At 40.8% G+C, this 18,011-nt stretch overlaps 1 protein-coding gene across 13 annotated transcripts in view; it reads left to right on the top strand.

Moving 5' to 3' along the window:
• Window positions 1–18,011, top strand: part of LIMS1 (LIM zinc finger domain containing 1) — a 153,576-nt gene that overhangs the window by 79,541 nt on the left and 56,024 nt on the right. For 2 of the 13 annotated variants that reach the window (NM_001193484.2, NM_001371500.1), the window contains exon 1: window positions 8,040–8,250. The exons of the other annotated variants lie outside the window; for them this stretch is intronic. In NM_001193484.2, coding sequence (NP_001180413.1) covers window positions 8,144–8,250 — 107 coding nt within the window. In that variant the 5' untranslated portion in view covers window positions 8,040–8,143. Of the gene's footprint in view, window positions 1–8,039; window positions 8,251–18,011 lie in introns of those variants that run through there. 13 annotated transcript variants of the gene reach the window in all.

The following is an 18,011-nucleotide window of genomic DNA, read 5'->3' on the forward strand; positions in this document are numbered from 1 at the left end:
ATAGTTGAGAGACTGAGCTTTACAATACAAGCAAACATTTTTATGTCCTAGCTTTTTTCTTTTGTAAACTCGTAAAAGTCTTTATTATTAGAGTCAAAGTAGGTTTAAAACGCTTACGTTTCTGTGGACAAGATTAAGGCAACATGAAGTACATCTGGCTCATGCTGTAGTTCACCAGGTCTGTTTGTTGCTATGTCCACAAAAGAATGTGGGGAGAAACGTTAGCAGTGTGGGTGCTTCCTGCCTCCCTCCCTGGCCCTCTGTGTCCAGTCTGCCCTTCTGCCCTCCCTCCCTACACATCTCTGTGTCCACTCTCCTTGCTGTTCTCTCTGTCACCACCCTGGCTAGCTCAAGCTGCTGTCTGTTCCATGGACTGCCATGTGGCTCTGCACAGCTGTGCTGGTCCTTACCCTGGGGCCTTTGCTGCCTCAGAGAGAGGGGTCCTCAGCAAACAGGTGGGATCTTGTCAGTACCCTGCTTAAGACACGGGCGGCCCTTGGCTCTCAGGGTGAAGAACACCAGGTCCTTCGAAACATGCCACCACCCATGTCTCTTGTCTCATTTCACCTCCTAGCCCTCCCCTCAGCCACAGGGTCAGGCCCTCTTGCTTTTGAGCCTGGTTTCTTGGATCAGATCCAGTGTTTCTGTCTCAGGAAGCTTGCCCCTGCTGTCCTGCTCCCCTCCCTGCTGTCAGCATCCACTCTGCACCCTACTTTCTACTACTTGACATGTTTTAAATTGTGATTATATGGTTGATACCAGTGTCCCCTACTCGACTGCAGGCTCCACGAGGCCACTGAGTCTCTGCTGCTAAGAGCAGACCCCAGCCTAGGTTAGACGCTCACTAAAGGTGTGTGAGGTGCACAGCTGGGTTGGGGGCACACCAGGCACCCTTCTGTGTTGTTTCTTATACTTGGCTGATGACAGACTCTCCGCATGTGACTTTTGCTTTTTTCTCATCCGCTTTAAACCTGTGTTCCCGGTTTGGAAGGCCCATGCCTCTGGCAGTCTCATCCCCTTGACAGGTCCTCACCATGCTCGGGCGCCTCCTCCACGCGAACTGCCCTGAACTTGCTCTCTCACCACCCAGACCCTGCCTAGGCTTCCAGTCTCTGCCAACCAGAGATGTCCTGGTAGACACTCTTCCAGATGCTGGGGAGGGTGTGGACACATACAATGTATGTACATATGTGGTCTTTGCATGTGAAATAGAATCTCTTAGCTTGTATCCTATGGTCTTTTTTTCATTCAGTGGTAGATCATGAACACACATTTTTATGCCAAATACATGTTTACATTATCATTTTCAGTTGCCATCAGTCACTCTGGCATAGTAACACTACATAGGAAATAAAAGTTTTTGGAAAACTTTTGTCTTTAGGGCTAGATACCCTTAAATTTCTAAATTAGATTTGTGTCATTGAATTGAACTTTTATATCGGAGTTAGGAAAAAATAATAAATAAAGGGATAATACAGATATCAGAAACGTGGCCACACAGCTTGTTATGTGTGTTGTTGCCTTTAAGATTAGACTGCACACAAAACCTGGGGAGTATTTTGATAACCTGGTAAAAACAATTTTGAAGTGAAAGTTGATGTGTTGACAATATTGGCTATAGTCATGAACCTATACTGGGGTGGGGCAGGAATTGTGGTTTATTTTTTAAGACACACCCCTTGAATTCCAGGGCAGGGAGAAGAACCGTTTTTGTTCTTTCTGGTCTTCAGAATATCGGAACTGTTAGCTTGCAAGTAACTGTTACATTTCTCCTCTCACACAGAAGTATTTAACCTATTGGATTTTTTTGTAATGACGATTTAGTTTAGAAATATGCTGAGCAGATATAGATACGCTAGAATCTATAGCGTATAGTTGTATGTATAGTTGGTGGTCAGGCAGAACGGATAGAAACAATATCTAAAAAGTGATTTCAATACATATATATGTATCTAGTTTTAAGTCAAATTATGGGAAAATCTGGATTTGTGGAAAGCTCTCATTTGTGAAGAGTACCACTAGAATTCCTTTTAAAAATAAGTTCATTTAGGGAAAGAAAAATTATTCTATGTGCTAAAGTTTTAGCTTTATATGTAGTTTTCCAGAAGCAAGTTTACTACATTGAGTGAGATACCCTCTATTTTGCCCTCAGGGAGGAAAAGTGCAGTCCTGCTGCAAGCTTCTGTCTGTGTTCCTTCCCTGAAAGGTCAGCGCTCTGTTGAGGAGGACCCTCTGTTCTCTTTGGGTCGGGTGGGGGGTATGGTGGGGCTAGGGTGATCAGCATGCCTTTTTGTGGTCCTTATCTACTCTAGAGCTCTTATCCTCAAGCAGCTTTGTGACCAAAGAAAAGGTGTTCATGGAGAAGGATCTGGGGAGCCCAGAGGCTGTTCAGGGTTCTCCTCCACACCCCAAAGGCCTGGCACACTGATGCCTTTGGGAAATTGCTGAATGTGCAGAGCCTGCCCATGTGTACCTGCTTTATTCAGGAATGAGATTTCTGACTATATGAAGAAGGAGAAAAGTGTGCTTAGTCAGGGAGTCATGTTGCACAGGTCCTGTCTGAAAACCAAGTAATGTTAGCCTGCAGAGAAGACCATGGAGGTCACCTAATTCAGCCACTTCTGATTCAAGTGGAACAATGGAGGACTGTGATAGTTAAATGACTTCCTGTGTACTTATAAGGTAGTCACAGCAAGGGAGTTTCCAAACGTGGAACTGTCAGCTAAATGTCTACTGGTCACCTCTTGTATCCTTCCACTAACCTACCTTGTACTCTCCCTTGGCCCCTTGAAAACGTGGGATTGGATAGGTTACTTAGAATTTCATTCTAAATTATTTGGAAATATACCTGGAAAATTTGCATATTGTATCAGTGGCTTTTGAGAACATTTGATAATGGTCTAAATTGAAGACTGTTGATGGCCCCATGTTGCTGGTTGTGGAAGAGGCTGCTGTATGAGAATGACACAGGCAAGTTTGCATGGGCTTTTTTTTTTTTTTTTTTTTTTTTGGATATAGGGGTCTTACTCTGTCACCCAGGCTGGAGTGCAGTGGTGTGACCATAGCTCACTGCAGCCTCGACCTTCCAGGCTCAAGTGATCATGATCCCCCCATCTCAGTCTCCCTCGTAGTTGGGACTACAGGCACTCGCCACCACGCCCAGCTAATTTTGTATTACTTGCAAAGATAAGGTCTCACTGTGTTGCCCAGGCTGGTCTCAAACTCCTGGGCTCAAGCTGTCTGTTCACCTCGGCCTCCCACATTGCTGGGATCCCAGGCGTGAGCCACCACACTGGCCTCACATGAGCTTTAATGACAGCTCAGCCTGTCCAGTCAGATGTGTCAGAGGTCCAGGAAGCCTGATTAAGGAGAAAGTTCAGAGGGGCTTGTAGACAGTTGCAATATTATCTGCTTGTGAGTGGGACCATATTTTCATGATTTTTTTTTTCCACACAGTGAACAGTTTTTGTGGACAGATGCTTCTGCCTTCTCATACTCTCTGCTCCAGTTAGCTTGACCTTGAGCCTACTCGCAATGGTACATCGTTGAACCCTTTTCTGCAGCAGATATATAGCCCTGTTCTTCCTTCAAATTTATAGCCTAGAGCAGTCTTGAGAGGCCTCACTTAGGAAGACAGCTTGGCTGGCAAATAAATGTTTGCCAGATGAATGTGTGTTGGACATAGTATGGAGGGATATTCTTGCTTTATTAGATAAAATTTGATTTTCCCTGTAAATGATTATTTATGAGATAAAACATAAACTAAAAATGATTCATTTCCATCAAGTGCAAAGTTAGCTGCAAAACATAACATTCTTCCTTTATGTCACACAGGGAAATTAATGGCCTGGAAATGTACAGCTGCTCAACCAGTTTACGAGCCATTAGTACCTAGTGTACTGGCAGTGAGCCCCAGTTAGCCATGGAAACCAGCTTGCAGCTTTCTTAACTCTGTATAGGAGAAATAATTGATGATTCAGTAACATTAATGATCATATTTACAGCTTGATGTTTAATTAGGTTTCTTTACCCTCTTATATCTGAAGGGGTTAATTGCAACAGGATGCTAAAAGCTGGACTATGACAAGTTTAGGCAAAAATCCAGGCTAATTTTTTATTCTTATCACAAATGGAAAATGTTTATACTTGTGGAAGGTACTGTTCAACTCCACAAATATGAAAGCTTCAGAGTTTTAGTCTCACCAAGAAAGTAAATTTTTCCAATACTGTAGAAGAAGTGTGTCTTTTAAAATCTCATTTAGGTAACATTGAGTGTTACATGCAGAAATGAAAAAGCTTCAAAACTCTGGAGATTTCTTCTCAAACATGACATTGTAAAATGATTAGGCTCTCAAAATTAATTGGTTGAACAACTAAAACATAAAGCTTGTTTAACAAACGTGACTGTCTTCCATGTCCCTGGCCCTATAGATGCAGCGGTAAGTGGGATATGGGGTTTAGAAAGGTTTCTCGGAAGAGATGATCCTTGTAGTGAGTCTTAGTGGGATGATCAGGAGCTAGTCCTGCCAGTGATCCTTCTTCCAGTCTTACCAAGCCATATGTGCAAAGGCTAGAAAGTGAGAGGAAGCACAGTCTGTCTGGGAAACTCCTGGAGTCCAGTCCTCTCAGCTGGGATGGGGGTGTGAGATCTGCTGGAGTCAAAGTACAGATTCAAGGAGAACCCAGCAGTTTGGAAAAAAGGACAGAAAGTTGTAATTAGGGCCAGACCAATTGTTAAGGCAAATGTCTTATTCCCAGTTTTTGTGAACTGTTGTTCCTCAAGAACCACTGGGCATGTGGGGGAAAGCCCCAGGAGTTTTATGAGGTAGTAATTTCCCCATCACTGCAAGTGTCCATGAAGAGACAAACTCCCAGGTCATAGATATTGTATAGGGATGAGGCCATGGGGAAAATGACGGTGGGGAATTCTGCATTGAATGAGAGTCTGGACTGACCTTCAAAGATTTTTTTAGAGTGCTAAAATGAAAAATATCTCTATTTGGAAACCCGCAGAAAATGCATTTATACAGGCCTCCCTCTGTACTGTCAAAATCATGCTAAGACAGTTATTTGAAATTTGAAACCCTTTTAAATAGGGCCTGATCTGAGAATTCAGGCATAATTAATAATTCCATCTCCATGGGAAAGTACATTTGAAAGGAAAAATAGATGGGGACTCCTCCCTGTCTTTGTCATGGCCCTGCTGTGTGTCCTGGGTGTTTGCCCATCTGACCCCCTTCCCTGTGCTGATGTGCTGCTGTCTGAAGGGTGCTGGGGAGGGAAAGCAGTCCTCTCTCTCTCTCTCTCTATCTTCAGTGAAAAGATCCTGGTTAGGCGGGGCACGGTGGCTCACGCCTGTAATCCCAGCCCGTTGGGAGGCTGAGGCGGGCAGATCACAAGGTCAGGAGATCAAGACCATCTTGGCCAACATGGTGAAACCCCATCTCTACTAAAATACAAAAAATTAGCCAGGCGTGGTTGCGCGTGCCTATAATCCCAGCTACTTGGGAGGCTGAGGCAGGGGAATCGCTTGAACTCGGGAGGTGGAGGTTGCAGTGAGCTGAGATCGTGCCACTGCACTCCAGCCTGGCGACAGAGCAAGACTCCGTCTCAAAAAAAAAAAAAAAAAAAAAGATCCTGGTTAAAAAGGCCTTCCCCAAAGGCCCAGAATTTAATTTTACTCAGCTGTGGCAGTTTCATCAGAACATAAGCATTGATTTGCTGAAGTTCCTGTTTGTCAGTACAGCCTTTTTAAAAGTCAGAGGGCAAGAATTGTTTCAGCTCGTTTGTTTTATGGCTTGGTAACTGTCCCTGTTACTGCTCTCCCCCGCCCCGTCTAACCCCCTGCACATCCTTTTAACACTAGTCTCATCAAATGCAGGATTCATCCTACACAGTTAGGTGTTTCCTGTCTGGTTAACCTTTAGTAGTCACCAAGTTGTTTTCCCTTGTCAGCAAGCTGCATTAATTTTTAAAAACTCTTTTAAAAATAAGCAATTATTTACATTTCCTATGGAGACAGGTCATATTTAATGTTGGGATTTCTGTATTTACAATGAATATACAATTGATTTGTGTTTTATTCATTAGGCGTCTATTCTGTGTTGATGGTGGGGGAAAACAAGGAAGATTAGTGGTTGTTTCTGTTCTTTTTTTTTTTTTTTAACTTGTCTTGATTTTAAAAAACGAAGGCTGGGCACGGTGGCACACGCCTGTAATCCCAGCAATTTGGGAGGCCGAGGCAGTTCGATCACTTGAGGCTTGGAGTTCGAGACCAGCCTGGCCAACATGGCAAAACCCCATCTCTACTAAAAATTCAAAAATTAGCTGGGCGTGGTGGCGCAAACCTGTAATCCCAGCTACTGGGGAGGCTGAGGCACGAGAATCACTTGAACCCGGGAGGCGGAGGTTACAGTGAGCCGAGATTATGCCACTGCACTCTAGCCTGGGTGACAGAGGGAGACTCTGTCTCAAAAAACAAAACAAAACAAAACAAAAAGAATTGGATACTTCAGGAGTTCTAAATTGAAATGTTTCTATTACTGTAAACTAAATTGTTTGGTATTTAAATCTTCTACATTCTATTTGTTTTTGAGTGGCAATATATTCAAAGTTCAGAAGGTGTAGAGTGGTGTGTGTAGTGGAAATGCTTCCTTCTGCTTCTGTCTCCCCAGGTCCCTCAGAAGCAGCCAGTATTACCGGTTTTTTGTATACCCTCCCGGAGACAGATGTAACTGTCAACTGATTTTTTAAAACGTGTTTCATCACTCATTAAATCTAGTGTAGTGACAAAAATGGTAAATTTTTTCCCTGCATCTTTAAAAACATATGCTGTGTTTGAATGGCAATTATGAAAAGTCATTTGTTTTTCCTGGGGCCGTGGACCTAGCGTAACAAATGGTAGCCCTCAGGGGAACTAGCATCTGTGTCCTAAGTGAAGGAATAAGATGTAGACTTCCCTTTCCTATGGGTTGCCTTAATTTTTGTATATATAGAGCAGATTCTCTCAGAGATGGGAATAACTCTCTAGCTCTTAGTGTAAAAATATTATCAGACCCATTTCTCTGTGTTCTTGTCGAGAAGGTTCTAAAAGGAAAAGAGGCTGGTATAAATTGCCCAGAGAAAAATTCCTAGAACCATTTAGTCAAACTACTGGCTAAGATCTTGCTGGGAGGTAGCCTGTATTTGTGGTGTGGTCCTGTGTTCCCAGTGGGACTGAAGTGGATTGGAGGGCCGTGCTGTGCCTGCTGTTGGGTAGCATCACTTTGAGCTGGATGACGAAGGACTTTCCCCAAACCTGTCCTCTGTTGTACACATCCCCACACCCAAAACCTTCCTAACATTGTCACTTTCCGAGGTCAAATGTACAGATAAATACAGGGTATATAGGACCCATTCCACCTTAAAGCCAACAGCATTGTGTCAGCCGGGGTGGCCTTTCCTACGAGAGGGCATTATTCACAGCCAGTAATTACAATGAATGAAGGAAGAAACCATCTTCCTTTCAGTTATGAATTCTTCAGTAATATTTAATGAGGGGTGGGTGGACCAAAGACACTTCCTTCCCTTCTGAAGAGGATTTAGAGTGGAGTGGTAAGGGGGAGGAATTGGACTGCTTCCCTTTAGAATTCTGCCCCTCCTCTCCTTTTTAAGGAAAATGTCCCTAAGGAGCTCACTATAACCAGGCGGTTCTTTAAACTGACAACTGCCTGTGAAGTGTTGATGGATTTCCTGGCAAATAAAACAGCAGGACCCTTCTTTAGCGACTACCTTACTGGAGCTTTTTAGCCCAATTTTAGTTCAGAGTGGTCCTGGCAAGGTTTTTAAAGGAATTGGTGTGATTATTCATAACAATTAAATTTTGCTTATTAATAAACAAGTAAGTAACCTGCCTTCTTGGTCACCGCTTCCCCCCTCCCCAAGGTGCGAGGCCCAGAGATAAGGCAAGTTGTGCCTTGCTGAGGAGGGTGTGTACCAGTGAGAAACAGGAAGCTGTGCTTCAGCAGCTTGGTCTGCCTGGAGGTTTCTAAGGCTGAGTCAGGTGTGCTGAGGTCCCTCGGCAAGGGACGCTGCTTTCCCCTGGCAGCCACACTGCTGAGCATAAATGCTTTAAAGTGTCAGCAATTGATGTGTGGAGAGAAGTATGACTGCATTACAGCTTAAAGAGCTTTCACATTCAGGTCTCTACAGGAGAAGACGAGATCGCCCCGATAGTTTGAGAGTAAATGGGTTACCAGAGGAAGAGCTAAGGTGAGTGCAAAGTCATGGTTGGCTAAAGGTCAAGACATCTAATCTAGTAAGTGCAGTGGGGATTCATGCCTAAGTGGATGCAGCGTTGGGAAGTACTCATTGAAAAGTAGCCTCTTAGTCTGTAATTAAAAACTGAACACAATATCAAGATTGTACTGATTGGAACTGTGCAAAACCAGAATACTTTTGCCCATTTCTTCACAAATCCTTTAAGTTGTTTTACCCCTTCTCCAAACCTACAGTGTTGTTATGTCTTTAAAAATTATATAATCACCAGAAATATTTTAAATTGAAAACAACTGATTTTTCCACTTAGTTTAAAGAGAGTTTTCTTTGGCTGATTGGAACATGTTTTTGTCTGTGTTTTGATGAAGGTGGGTAGTTTGTGGTGGTTTGGGGTTGGGGGAGGGGTGCCATGGAGATTGTTACTGAAATGGTGTAACAAAGGAATGCAGTGGAACTATTCAATGTAGCCTAGGAAGGAAGGACATCAAAAACCTGGAAACCTTTTTAACTAAAAAGGTTAGAGTTCTTGGCTTTCAAAGTGAATTTCCCTAAAACAACACAATTTTATTTTTTTGTTGCAACTACTGAAAATTTCTTAGATTTGAGGTTCTGAAAGCCTCTACAACATTAAGCCTATGTGTTAAAATACTGCATTAACTGAAGGGTTTAGATTTTCCCTGTTCCTGGGATGTTCCTGTTTTACTGATGACAGAAGGCTGCAGTAAAGAGAGACTTCCTTTTTTTAAATTACATTTACTGTTTAGTACTTTAATTTGGAGGTCTTGATTTAAGTGTTTGAATATTCTGATTAGATGGCGGGAAGGCTATCTATACTTTGTGTACTATTGTTCTTTTTCCTACAAACTAACTTCCAGAGTTTATTTTAAATTCTCTATTTAAATGTAACAAGGACAAATTGACAAGCTTCAACTTCTCTATTAAATTTGTATTTGTCACAGACAGCTATACTACAGTAACTGTAATTTGCTAAAGAAACATTTATTTTAAAATTGTTGACTCACCAATTTTTGAAGAGGGTAGCATTAAAGGACTATTATTGACACTAACATTATTAGAACTTATCGCTTACTATGTCAGGTGTCTCTTAGCTACATTTAATGTATTAACTTTGAATTGACTGGATTAAACAATTTAAAAGTCTCAGAGTTTAAATTGTTAAGAAGTTTGTATGTGAGGTTAGTGAAAATATTGAGCTCTATATTGCTAACCAGATAGACAATTGGAAGTGACCTCTGAAACCAACATTTATTGGTAGACTCCAGTCTACAATGGATCCAAGAGTGAAGTTACCAAAAACAGTTTTAATTTCAGATTTCGGGGTTTGGAGGAATTTCCTTTTTTAAAAAAATTAAGTTATATAAAAAAAATTCTAAACCAACCTTTTCTTTATTTTCAGACAATAGCCAAAGTACTCATGAGTAAAATAACGTATATGCCAAGGAAGTAGTTATTTACATAGTTACAATGCTCTTTCAAACAACTAGATTTTTTTTTTTTTTTTTTTGCTTAGAATTTAATTAAAAGAGGAAGAATAATTCTTAAGTATTGCCTGTTCTAGTTGTTTAAAGAGAAATATTTTGTCACCCATTCTGGTGATGTAGTTATCTGGTCATAGAAGGGACTTGTATTTCTGCCACTTTTGTCTCCTAATGTAGAGAAAATGATCATTTTCCTTATTCAGAAGTATAGGTTAGCCAAGAAAGGTAAACCATTGTCTGTTTATGCCTGGATTTTTTTTTTAATCAGCTTAGGTGTATTTTTTTTTACCCTAGTTATACTAAGCCTATTTTCAGGATTAAATGAGGTTTCTGAGCTAATAGGAATCAAAGAGAGTAAGGACTTTGAAGTTAGGTACACCAGAGTTTCAGTACCACTCAGTTGGACAAGTTATATAATTTTTTTAAGTCTTGGTTTATTCTTTTTTTAAAAAAATAAGGATAAAAATAACTACTATTATTGAACATTATTTACTCTCTCACAGAACTCAAACCACCAATTCAGTGAGGCAGGTGGCATTGTTATCTTGCGAATAGTGCCATACAGTTAATTCATTGTTTAATTGTTATTGAGTGCCTACTATTTGCAAAGTAAAGATACAGTGAGGAATAAGACACAGGCCTCGCCACAGGAACACCCACCTAGGTTTGGGCATATTTAATATGACCACAGATTTTCTCTCCATGAACAATTATTTGATTTTGAATACCTGTGCTATCAAACATCTTTCATACTGTCTCAAGTATTGCATAAGACCCATTCCAGCTCTCATTCCTTCTTACTCAAGTGTTCATTTCTTACGTTTGTGGACTCTTAACAGAAAAACTTTCAGAGACTAAAATTGGCCATGGCCACTGCCAGAAAACATTTTTTGCTCTTAAAGTTTAAATAAAAGGCTGTGCTCTGAAACACGAGATGCACGTGCTTAAAGAGCACTGTAATACACATGAAAATAGTTCCGGCGTCAAACTTGAAATTGTTCAAAACCGAAGCAGGTAAAAGGTGGCATGACAAACACTGGGCTTCCTAGACTTTTGTTTTAAAGTATTAAATATGACTTGAAACTGACTTTATTCACATACTTTGTACAGTGGAGCATTACCCACTGTGTTTGTGGTTACAGTTAGAGTGAAGTGACACAAGTGACATGCTTGTTCCAGTGGGTCGGAAGCCCCAGACCTTCACAAGGCATTGACCCTTTTTTCCCTGAAGTTTTTGGTGTCCCAAAATAACATCTAAGATATACCCATGTACCTACACTTACTCCTTTAGCTATTCTATCTTTTAAATTATGTTGCATTCAAACATAGTTGTTTTTTGACAATACCTGAATGACAAACACACCTGAGAAATTCCTGCCCTTTAAAAATTCTCAAAGTTACTTTTTCTCTGCCTCAGATAGAAGGGATCTATAAATAACTGATTAGAAACAGTACAAAATTGAAGTTTCTCCTGGTTGGGTTCAAAACAGCTTAATATAGGGGCTGGTGGCTGGATGCAGTGGCTGACGCCTATAATCCCAGTACTTTGGGAGGCCGAGGCAGGCGGATCACTTGAGGTCAGAAGTTCAAGACCAGTCTGGCCAACGTGGTGAAACCCCATCTCTACTAAAAATACAAAGATTAGCTGGACGTGGTGGCAAGCGCCTGTAGTCCCAGCTACTGTGGAGGCTGAGGCAGGAGAATCGTTTGAACCCAGGAGACAGAGGTTGCAGTGAGCCGAGATCGCGCCACTGCACTCTAGCCTGGGTGACCAAGCAAGACTATGTCTCTAAATAAATAAATAAATAAATAACAATATAGGGGCTGGTAGGCCGGGTGCGGTGGCTCACGCCTATAATCCCAGCACTTTGGGAGGCCGAGGCAGGCAGATCACCTGAGCTCAGGAGTTCAAGACCACTCTGGGCAACATGGGGAAACCCAGCCTCTACTAAAATATAAAAAATTAGCCAGGTGTGGTGGCGCACACCTATGGTCCCAGCTAGTGAGGATGCTGAGGCACGAGAATTGTTTGAGCCTGGAAGGCGGAGGTTGCAGTGAGCCGAGATCACGCCGTTGCACTGCAGCTTGGGCTACAGAGTGAGACTCTCTCAAACAAACAAACAAAAAATATATATAGGGGCAGGTGAACTTATGACCCTCAGGCCAAATCTGGCCTGCTGCCTTTTTGTGTATGGCCCATGAGCTTGGGATGGGTTTTACATTTTTGAATGGTTGAAAAAATAATAAAAATATTTTTCACATGTGAAATATATGAAATTCAAATTTCAGTGTCCACAAATGAAGTTTTACTGGAACACAGCCATGCTTATTTGTATGTGTTGCCTGTGGTGGTTTTCTGCTACGCTGGCAAAGTTGAGTTGTGACACAGACCAATGTGGCCCACAAAGACAAAAATTATTTACCTTCAGGCCCTTCACAGAAAACCTGGGCTGACCCCTGGTCTAGTGCTGAGATAAGAACTCCTAGAGCTTTCCCTTTTCCCTGTTCCTTCGGCCATGCTTCTGCCCTCCTCACTCTCTCACCTCCCAGTTAGGTTTATCTTGCCTGGATAAAATCAGGGCTACGTCAGCCATTTGAAAAGAATATGAATCCCCCCCCCCAAAAAAATGCAGTTTGAAATTTGTATCCCTAATAGTTTAGGAGTAAAGTGAAAATGGGAAGTTGCCACACAGCAGCAGTGAGCTCTTCGCTTCTTAGACCTCCTTTCCTCCTTTCCTGCAGCGTTGACCTTGAAGTAGTACCCTTCTCCTGATTCCTGGATGGATCAGGTTAACCAAGAATGGAAGTGCAAAGAAATGTAACCTTTACTTTCTGGTTATAGAATAAACCTTCCAAGCTCATATTTTTATAGATATAGCATATAAAATCATTTTTAAGTGGTGGGAATGTCCTTGCTTTGGTTTGAGAGTGAAAACTCAGATCATGTGTTCCTGACTAGTACATAACCATTAATTGAACCCCTGTTATAGGCCAGGCACTGCATTAAGTAAGGGCTTTTGTGTGTGTGGGCCCACCATGTCTCATGATCCCGTAAGAGAGAAAGAACTGAAGGCTATAAAGGTGGTCATTGTTATGAAACCAGTTTCTGTCCTTGATTCAAATAAGTTAGTGCTTAGAATTCAGTCAACGTTGGAGTAGCTCAGCCTAGGCTGTGTGTTTCTTGCATACCTCTTTTGCAGTTTGCTGATCACTTTTTGGCCCAACTTTTAACTGAAAAATTATGTTTGTATTTTAGTTTTAGAAATGTAGTCTGTTAGACAATAGGGATAAAATTGCAGTTTTGCCATTATCTTATTATCTGATATTATCTGTTCTTATTATTTGGTGGTTCAGTGAGGGTACATTTAGTCTTCCCAACAATGAGCAAACACATGGGACAATTAATAAGAAATATTTTTCTCTTTGCTATAGGAAAGAGAAAAACCACTTGCTAGTGTTGCTTTTTAAAAGTTCATAGTGCTTACTCCTATATGTTTGATTGTAACCTACAAGTACTTATATTGTAATAACTGGTTTTACAGACCCCCTCTTCACCCACTCTCACCTCCCACCCCCATATAATAGAGAGGGGATTCTTCAAGGCAAGAGACTTTACCATATTTCCTGTGCATCTAGCACGTACTGCAGTTCAGAATCTGTTTCTCATTGAATGAGTAAAGGAATGAGAAACTAAACTGGCCTAAAGGTACCTCTTTTATTCTAGATTAAACTCTTTACACTCTACTTTTTAAGTCTTAATTATTAACTTTTTATTTATGTACAGTATCACACTGAGAGAAGCCTAAGAGACGGATGTATCTATCAGAGTATAGATCATGATTATTTTGCTTTTCTCTTTCAGTAGTTTTGGAAAGCTTAGTTTCCAAAGGGAAATGTATTTTTCAGTCATCTAAAATATTTCTGCATATAGTCATGTGCTGCATAAAACGTTTCAGTCAACGAGAGACTACAAACATGACAGTGGTCTCTTAAGATTACAAGGAAGTTGCCCTATGCAGATGTACCATTTTAATCTTTTAAACCGTATTTTTACTATACTATAATATTTTTAGCTATTTTATATATACACTTAACTGTTGTGTTACAGTTGCCTACAGTATTCAATACAGTCCTGTGCTGTACAGGTTTGTGGCCTTGGAGCAACAGGCTATACCACGTAGCCTAGGCATGTAATAGGCTGTACTGTCTAGGTTTGTGTATGTTTATGTGAACATTTGTATATTTATGATGTTCACACATGACTAAATCACCTGATGATGCATTTCTCAGATCATATCCTTGTCATTAAGCAATGTATGACTAGTAGAGGGAGTTTATGCTGAAATTAAAAATAGCAGTGTTGATGCTTAAAAATCAGGTCTGTTAAAGGAATGATAAGAAGTAAAAAGTTATTGAATAATGATCCCTTTCTGGTTTTTTTTTTTTTTTTTTTTGCACTGCTATAGGAGACATTTAGGAACGAACCGTCAACTTTAACAGAATCAATCTGTAATTTTGTTGTCAGTACGCATCATATTATCTAAATTATTTATTGTGACAATTAAATCCCAAAATTTCAATAATTTGGTTGCTTTCCTGTTGGTTTTTAAAAAAGCAAACAAAATCTTGAAGTCTCAGGTATAAATTACTTATAAAAGTCAGAAAAGATAGTTGTCCAAAACTTGTGCTTTACCTACCTGACTTTGGATAGATGTTATTAAAAGGAAACAGTACTATTTATTCTACATGTATGTATCTTAGAGACACAGCAACTGATTATATGTCTGTGCTACTCATTGGCTATTCTGTGACTAAAACAAACTTTGGACGTGAATATTTTCTTATTTAAAAAAATCTTCTTTTAGAAGTAATTATTAAATATGTTTCACATAAATATGAACCTCCTTAAGTTTTTTTAAATGGTTATATCTGTTTCCTAGGGCTGCCATCACCAAGTACCATAAACTGTGTAGCTTCAAACTACAGAAATTTGTTGTCGTAGATTTCTGGACACCAGAAGTCAGAAACCAGCGTGTCAGCAGGGCCATGCCCCCTCTGACCCCTGAAGGGAGATGCTTCCTTTCCTCTCCAAGCACCAGGCTTTGCCTGCAGTGCTGAGTGTTCTTGACTTGCAGGTGCCTTGCTCCTGTTTCTGCCCTTGTGGTCATAAGGCCATCTTCTCAGTGTGTCTGTCTTCACCACAGCTCTGGTCACTTTCCCTTGACTTCTTGAAGTTTGACAGCAGTAATACTTTCTTCTTAAAATTGTCTCCTCCATTGTCTCCTCAGCCCTGCCTTTTCCTAGTTTTCCTACTGGTTACTTCTTTTCAGTTTTTCCTTTGTCTTTCAGTGTCTCCCATGGCTCTTGAGTATGTATGGCTCAGATACCATCCATGTGCAGTCACTGTCAAATCAGGCCAAGAGTCATTTCTAGCTCTCACTTAATGACTAGCACCAGTTTAAACTAGGGATTTCCAGTTAATATTTGTGAATCGATAAATGAATGAAATGAGCTATGAAAGCAGTTTATTGGATCATTTATTGAAGAGGCAGTGAAATCAATGTTGCCTAGGCTGCAGTGAGCCTTCGCCTCCCAGGCTCAAGCAATTCTCCCACCTCAGCCTCCCGAGTAGCTGGAATTACAGGCGCACCACCACGCCCAGCTAATTTTTGTATTTTTAGTAGAGACGGGGTTTCACCATGTTGGCCAGGCTGGTCTCGAACTCCTGACCTCAGGTGATCCACCCTCCTTGGCTCCCAAATCGCTGGGATTACAGGCGTGAGCCACCGCACCCAGCCTCAGTGCATTAATTTTTGAAGAGAAATATGACAGTAATGAGTTTTATGAAGGTTCTTGTTTTTTCTGAGACAGGGTCTTGCTCTATCACCCAGGCTGGAGTGCAGTGGCACAATCTTTGCTCCCTGGCTAAAGTGATCCTCAGCCTTCCGAGTAGCTGAGACTGCATTGAAATATTTTTTTAAAAAGCAGAATACTTATTTGACCATCTATGCTTAAAGCAATATCAGTAGGTTTGGTGTCCATCATAAGCAGCTGTGCAATTCAACAGAAACGTATTGCCATCACCTTTGTCTATCTATGTTGCCATCTGCTATTATAGCTGTTTAAAGGAAGACTGTTGTGTGGTATTGGGAGGAAATGGTACATTTTATTGTCAGAATTCTAATTGATCGGGGTAATGAGAATGAAAAAATGGCAGTGTTATAGGGAAGAAGTATTCGTATGCGTGGAACTAGAAACGGATCACAACTTACATGTTGGCTTCTAATTTGTAATGTTTCAACCATGTTCGGATGGAAAGAAGATGTATAGGATTGTTTCCAAAAAAGTTTCTTCTCTATGAATGAACTTAGGATGGTCTTCAGAGATATATATAAAGAAAGAGAGGAGACAGAGACTGAAATTGACTGCTTCAACTGTAGTGAGTTAACTTTCACTCATAATAGAAATAGCTAGAGGTTGGATTATTTCAAAAAGCCAGTCAGTGTTTTTAGAGCTTCTGATTCTCACAAGAACAGATGAAAAAATGCAAGTATCAGTTATAGAGAAGACTTTCCATTTGAGACTCTCAGAAAAGGTGTGGGTGGTTACTGTGTTTGTTTGACATTGCATCCTTTAATGAGCTTGTTTAGTACGTGAGGAAGTGGAACTTTACCTTGGGCCTCTCTGAAGCCCAGTTTCCTCCAAATATAAAAAGAAAGGCTTGGTCCATTCAGAAGCTTTAAAGAGTCATTTTTTTCCCAGACAGGATTTCCCTGTGGATTGTGGTATGTGAAACAAAGTCAGTGATTCTCCATGGAGGTGATGTGAGGAGAGAAGGCTATGTGGCCTAGACTGCAGATTCCTTTCCTGAGGTCCTTCCTTTGTCCCATGGCAGCTGCAGAGGCGTCTTGGTTTAGGAGATCAAGATTTGAAAACCAGGTGAAGGCCAGGCACTGTCGCTCATGCCTGTAATCCCAGCACTTTGGGAGGCCAAGCCGGGTGGATCACTTGAGTCCAGGAGTTCAAGACCAGACTGGGCAACATGGTGAAACCATATTTCCACAAAGAAATACAAAAATTAGCCAAGCGTGGTGGCGTGCACCTGTAGTCCTGGCAACTTGGGAGGCTGAGGCTGGAGGATTGCTTGAGCCTGGGAGGTTAGGCTATAGTGAGGTGAGATCATACCATTGTACTCCAGCCTGGGCAACAGAGTGAGACCCTGTCTCAAAAAAAAAAAAAAAAAAAAAAAGAAAGAAAAGAAAACCAGAAGACAGCCTGCCTCACTTAAAATTGTGATTTTAAAAACAGTGAAATTCAGGCATCCCTGTAGTGAGCCTCCTTCGAAATTCACTGCACTGCTATAGGAAATCAGAGCTTAATTATGTCACACTTACATGCTGAAGAACTCAGGGATCCAATGATACAATGTAGGGAATTTGTTTCAAAATATTTTATGGTTGATGAGTAGATAAATTGATCACGACTTGATGACTGTTGGAGTTGGATAATGGTTCAGAGGGATTCGTTATACTCACTCGTTTAATATATGTTTGAAATCTTCAGTAATCAAAGGTTTTAAATTTTTTGAAATACGTATCATGACGAATGGCACAGTTTTAACGTTTCCCTTATGTGTAACTAACACATTATACTTTTTCATTTATTTAGGGCTTATCTGATGAGTGGTTGTGTCCCATCCAAACATCTATCCCAGTAGTCAGGAATATAACAAAGCCCCTGAGATTCCCTCTGCTGTCAGCTACCTGTGTGTCTGTTGGGATATAAGCCACACCAGGATTTCACCACCCATGGCTCTAGCATGAGTAATTTGGAGGTTGAGTGGGACGAGGAGGAAAAATGTAGGATTCTTTACCTTAATCTAGGCTGTCGTTCTATGGTAATCATTAAGCTTTCATATTTTGTGTTGGAAAAAAACAGTATTTCTTAATGTTAGAAAGTGAAAATGGTAATGTAGGGGTAAAAGATTAGATTCAGAAAAATGAACATCTCAAGTTACTGCTTTTACATCTGTGGAGCAGGGATGGAATTGTTTGATTTTTCAGACAATTAAAATTTATTATGACAGGATGAAGTTGGCTTACAGAGTGTGGGACACTTAATGAGTCAGCTTCTAGCCTCTGGCTTAAGAATGGGGTAGACTAGCCTCTGGCTTAAAGAATGGGGTAGACTGACTTGGACTCTCATTTAACTGAAGATTTTATTTTCTATACCTTTACTTGATAATATATACCTCCG

Source organism: Homo sapiens, chromosome 2, assembly GCF_000001405.40.
Source record: "Homo sapiens chromosome 2, GRCh38.p14 Primary Assembly".
NCBI classification, from domain to species: Eukaryota; Metazoa; Chordata; class Mammalia; order Primates; family Hominidae; genus Homo; species Homo sapiens.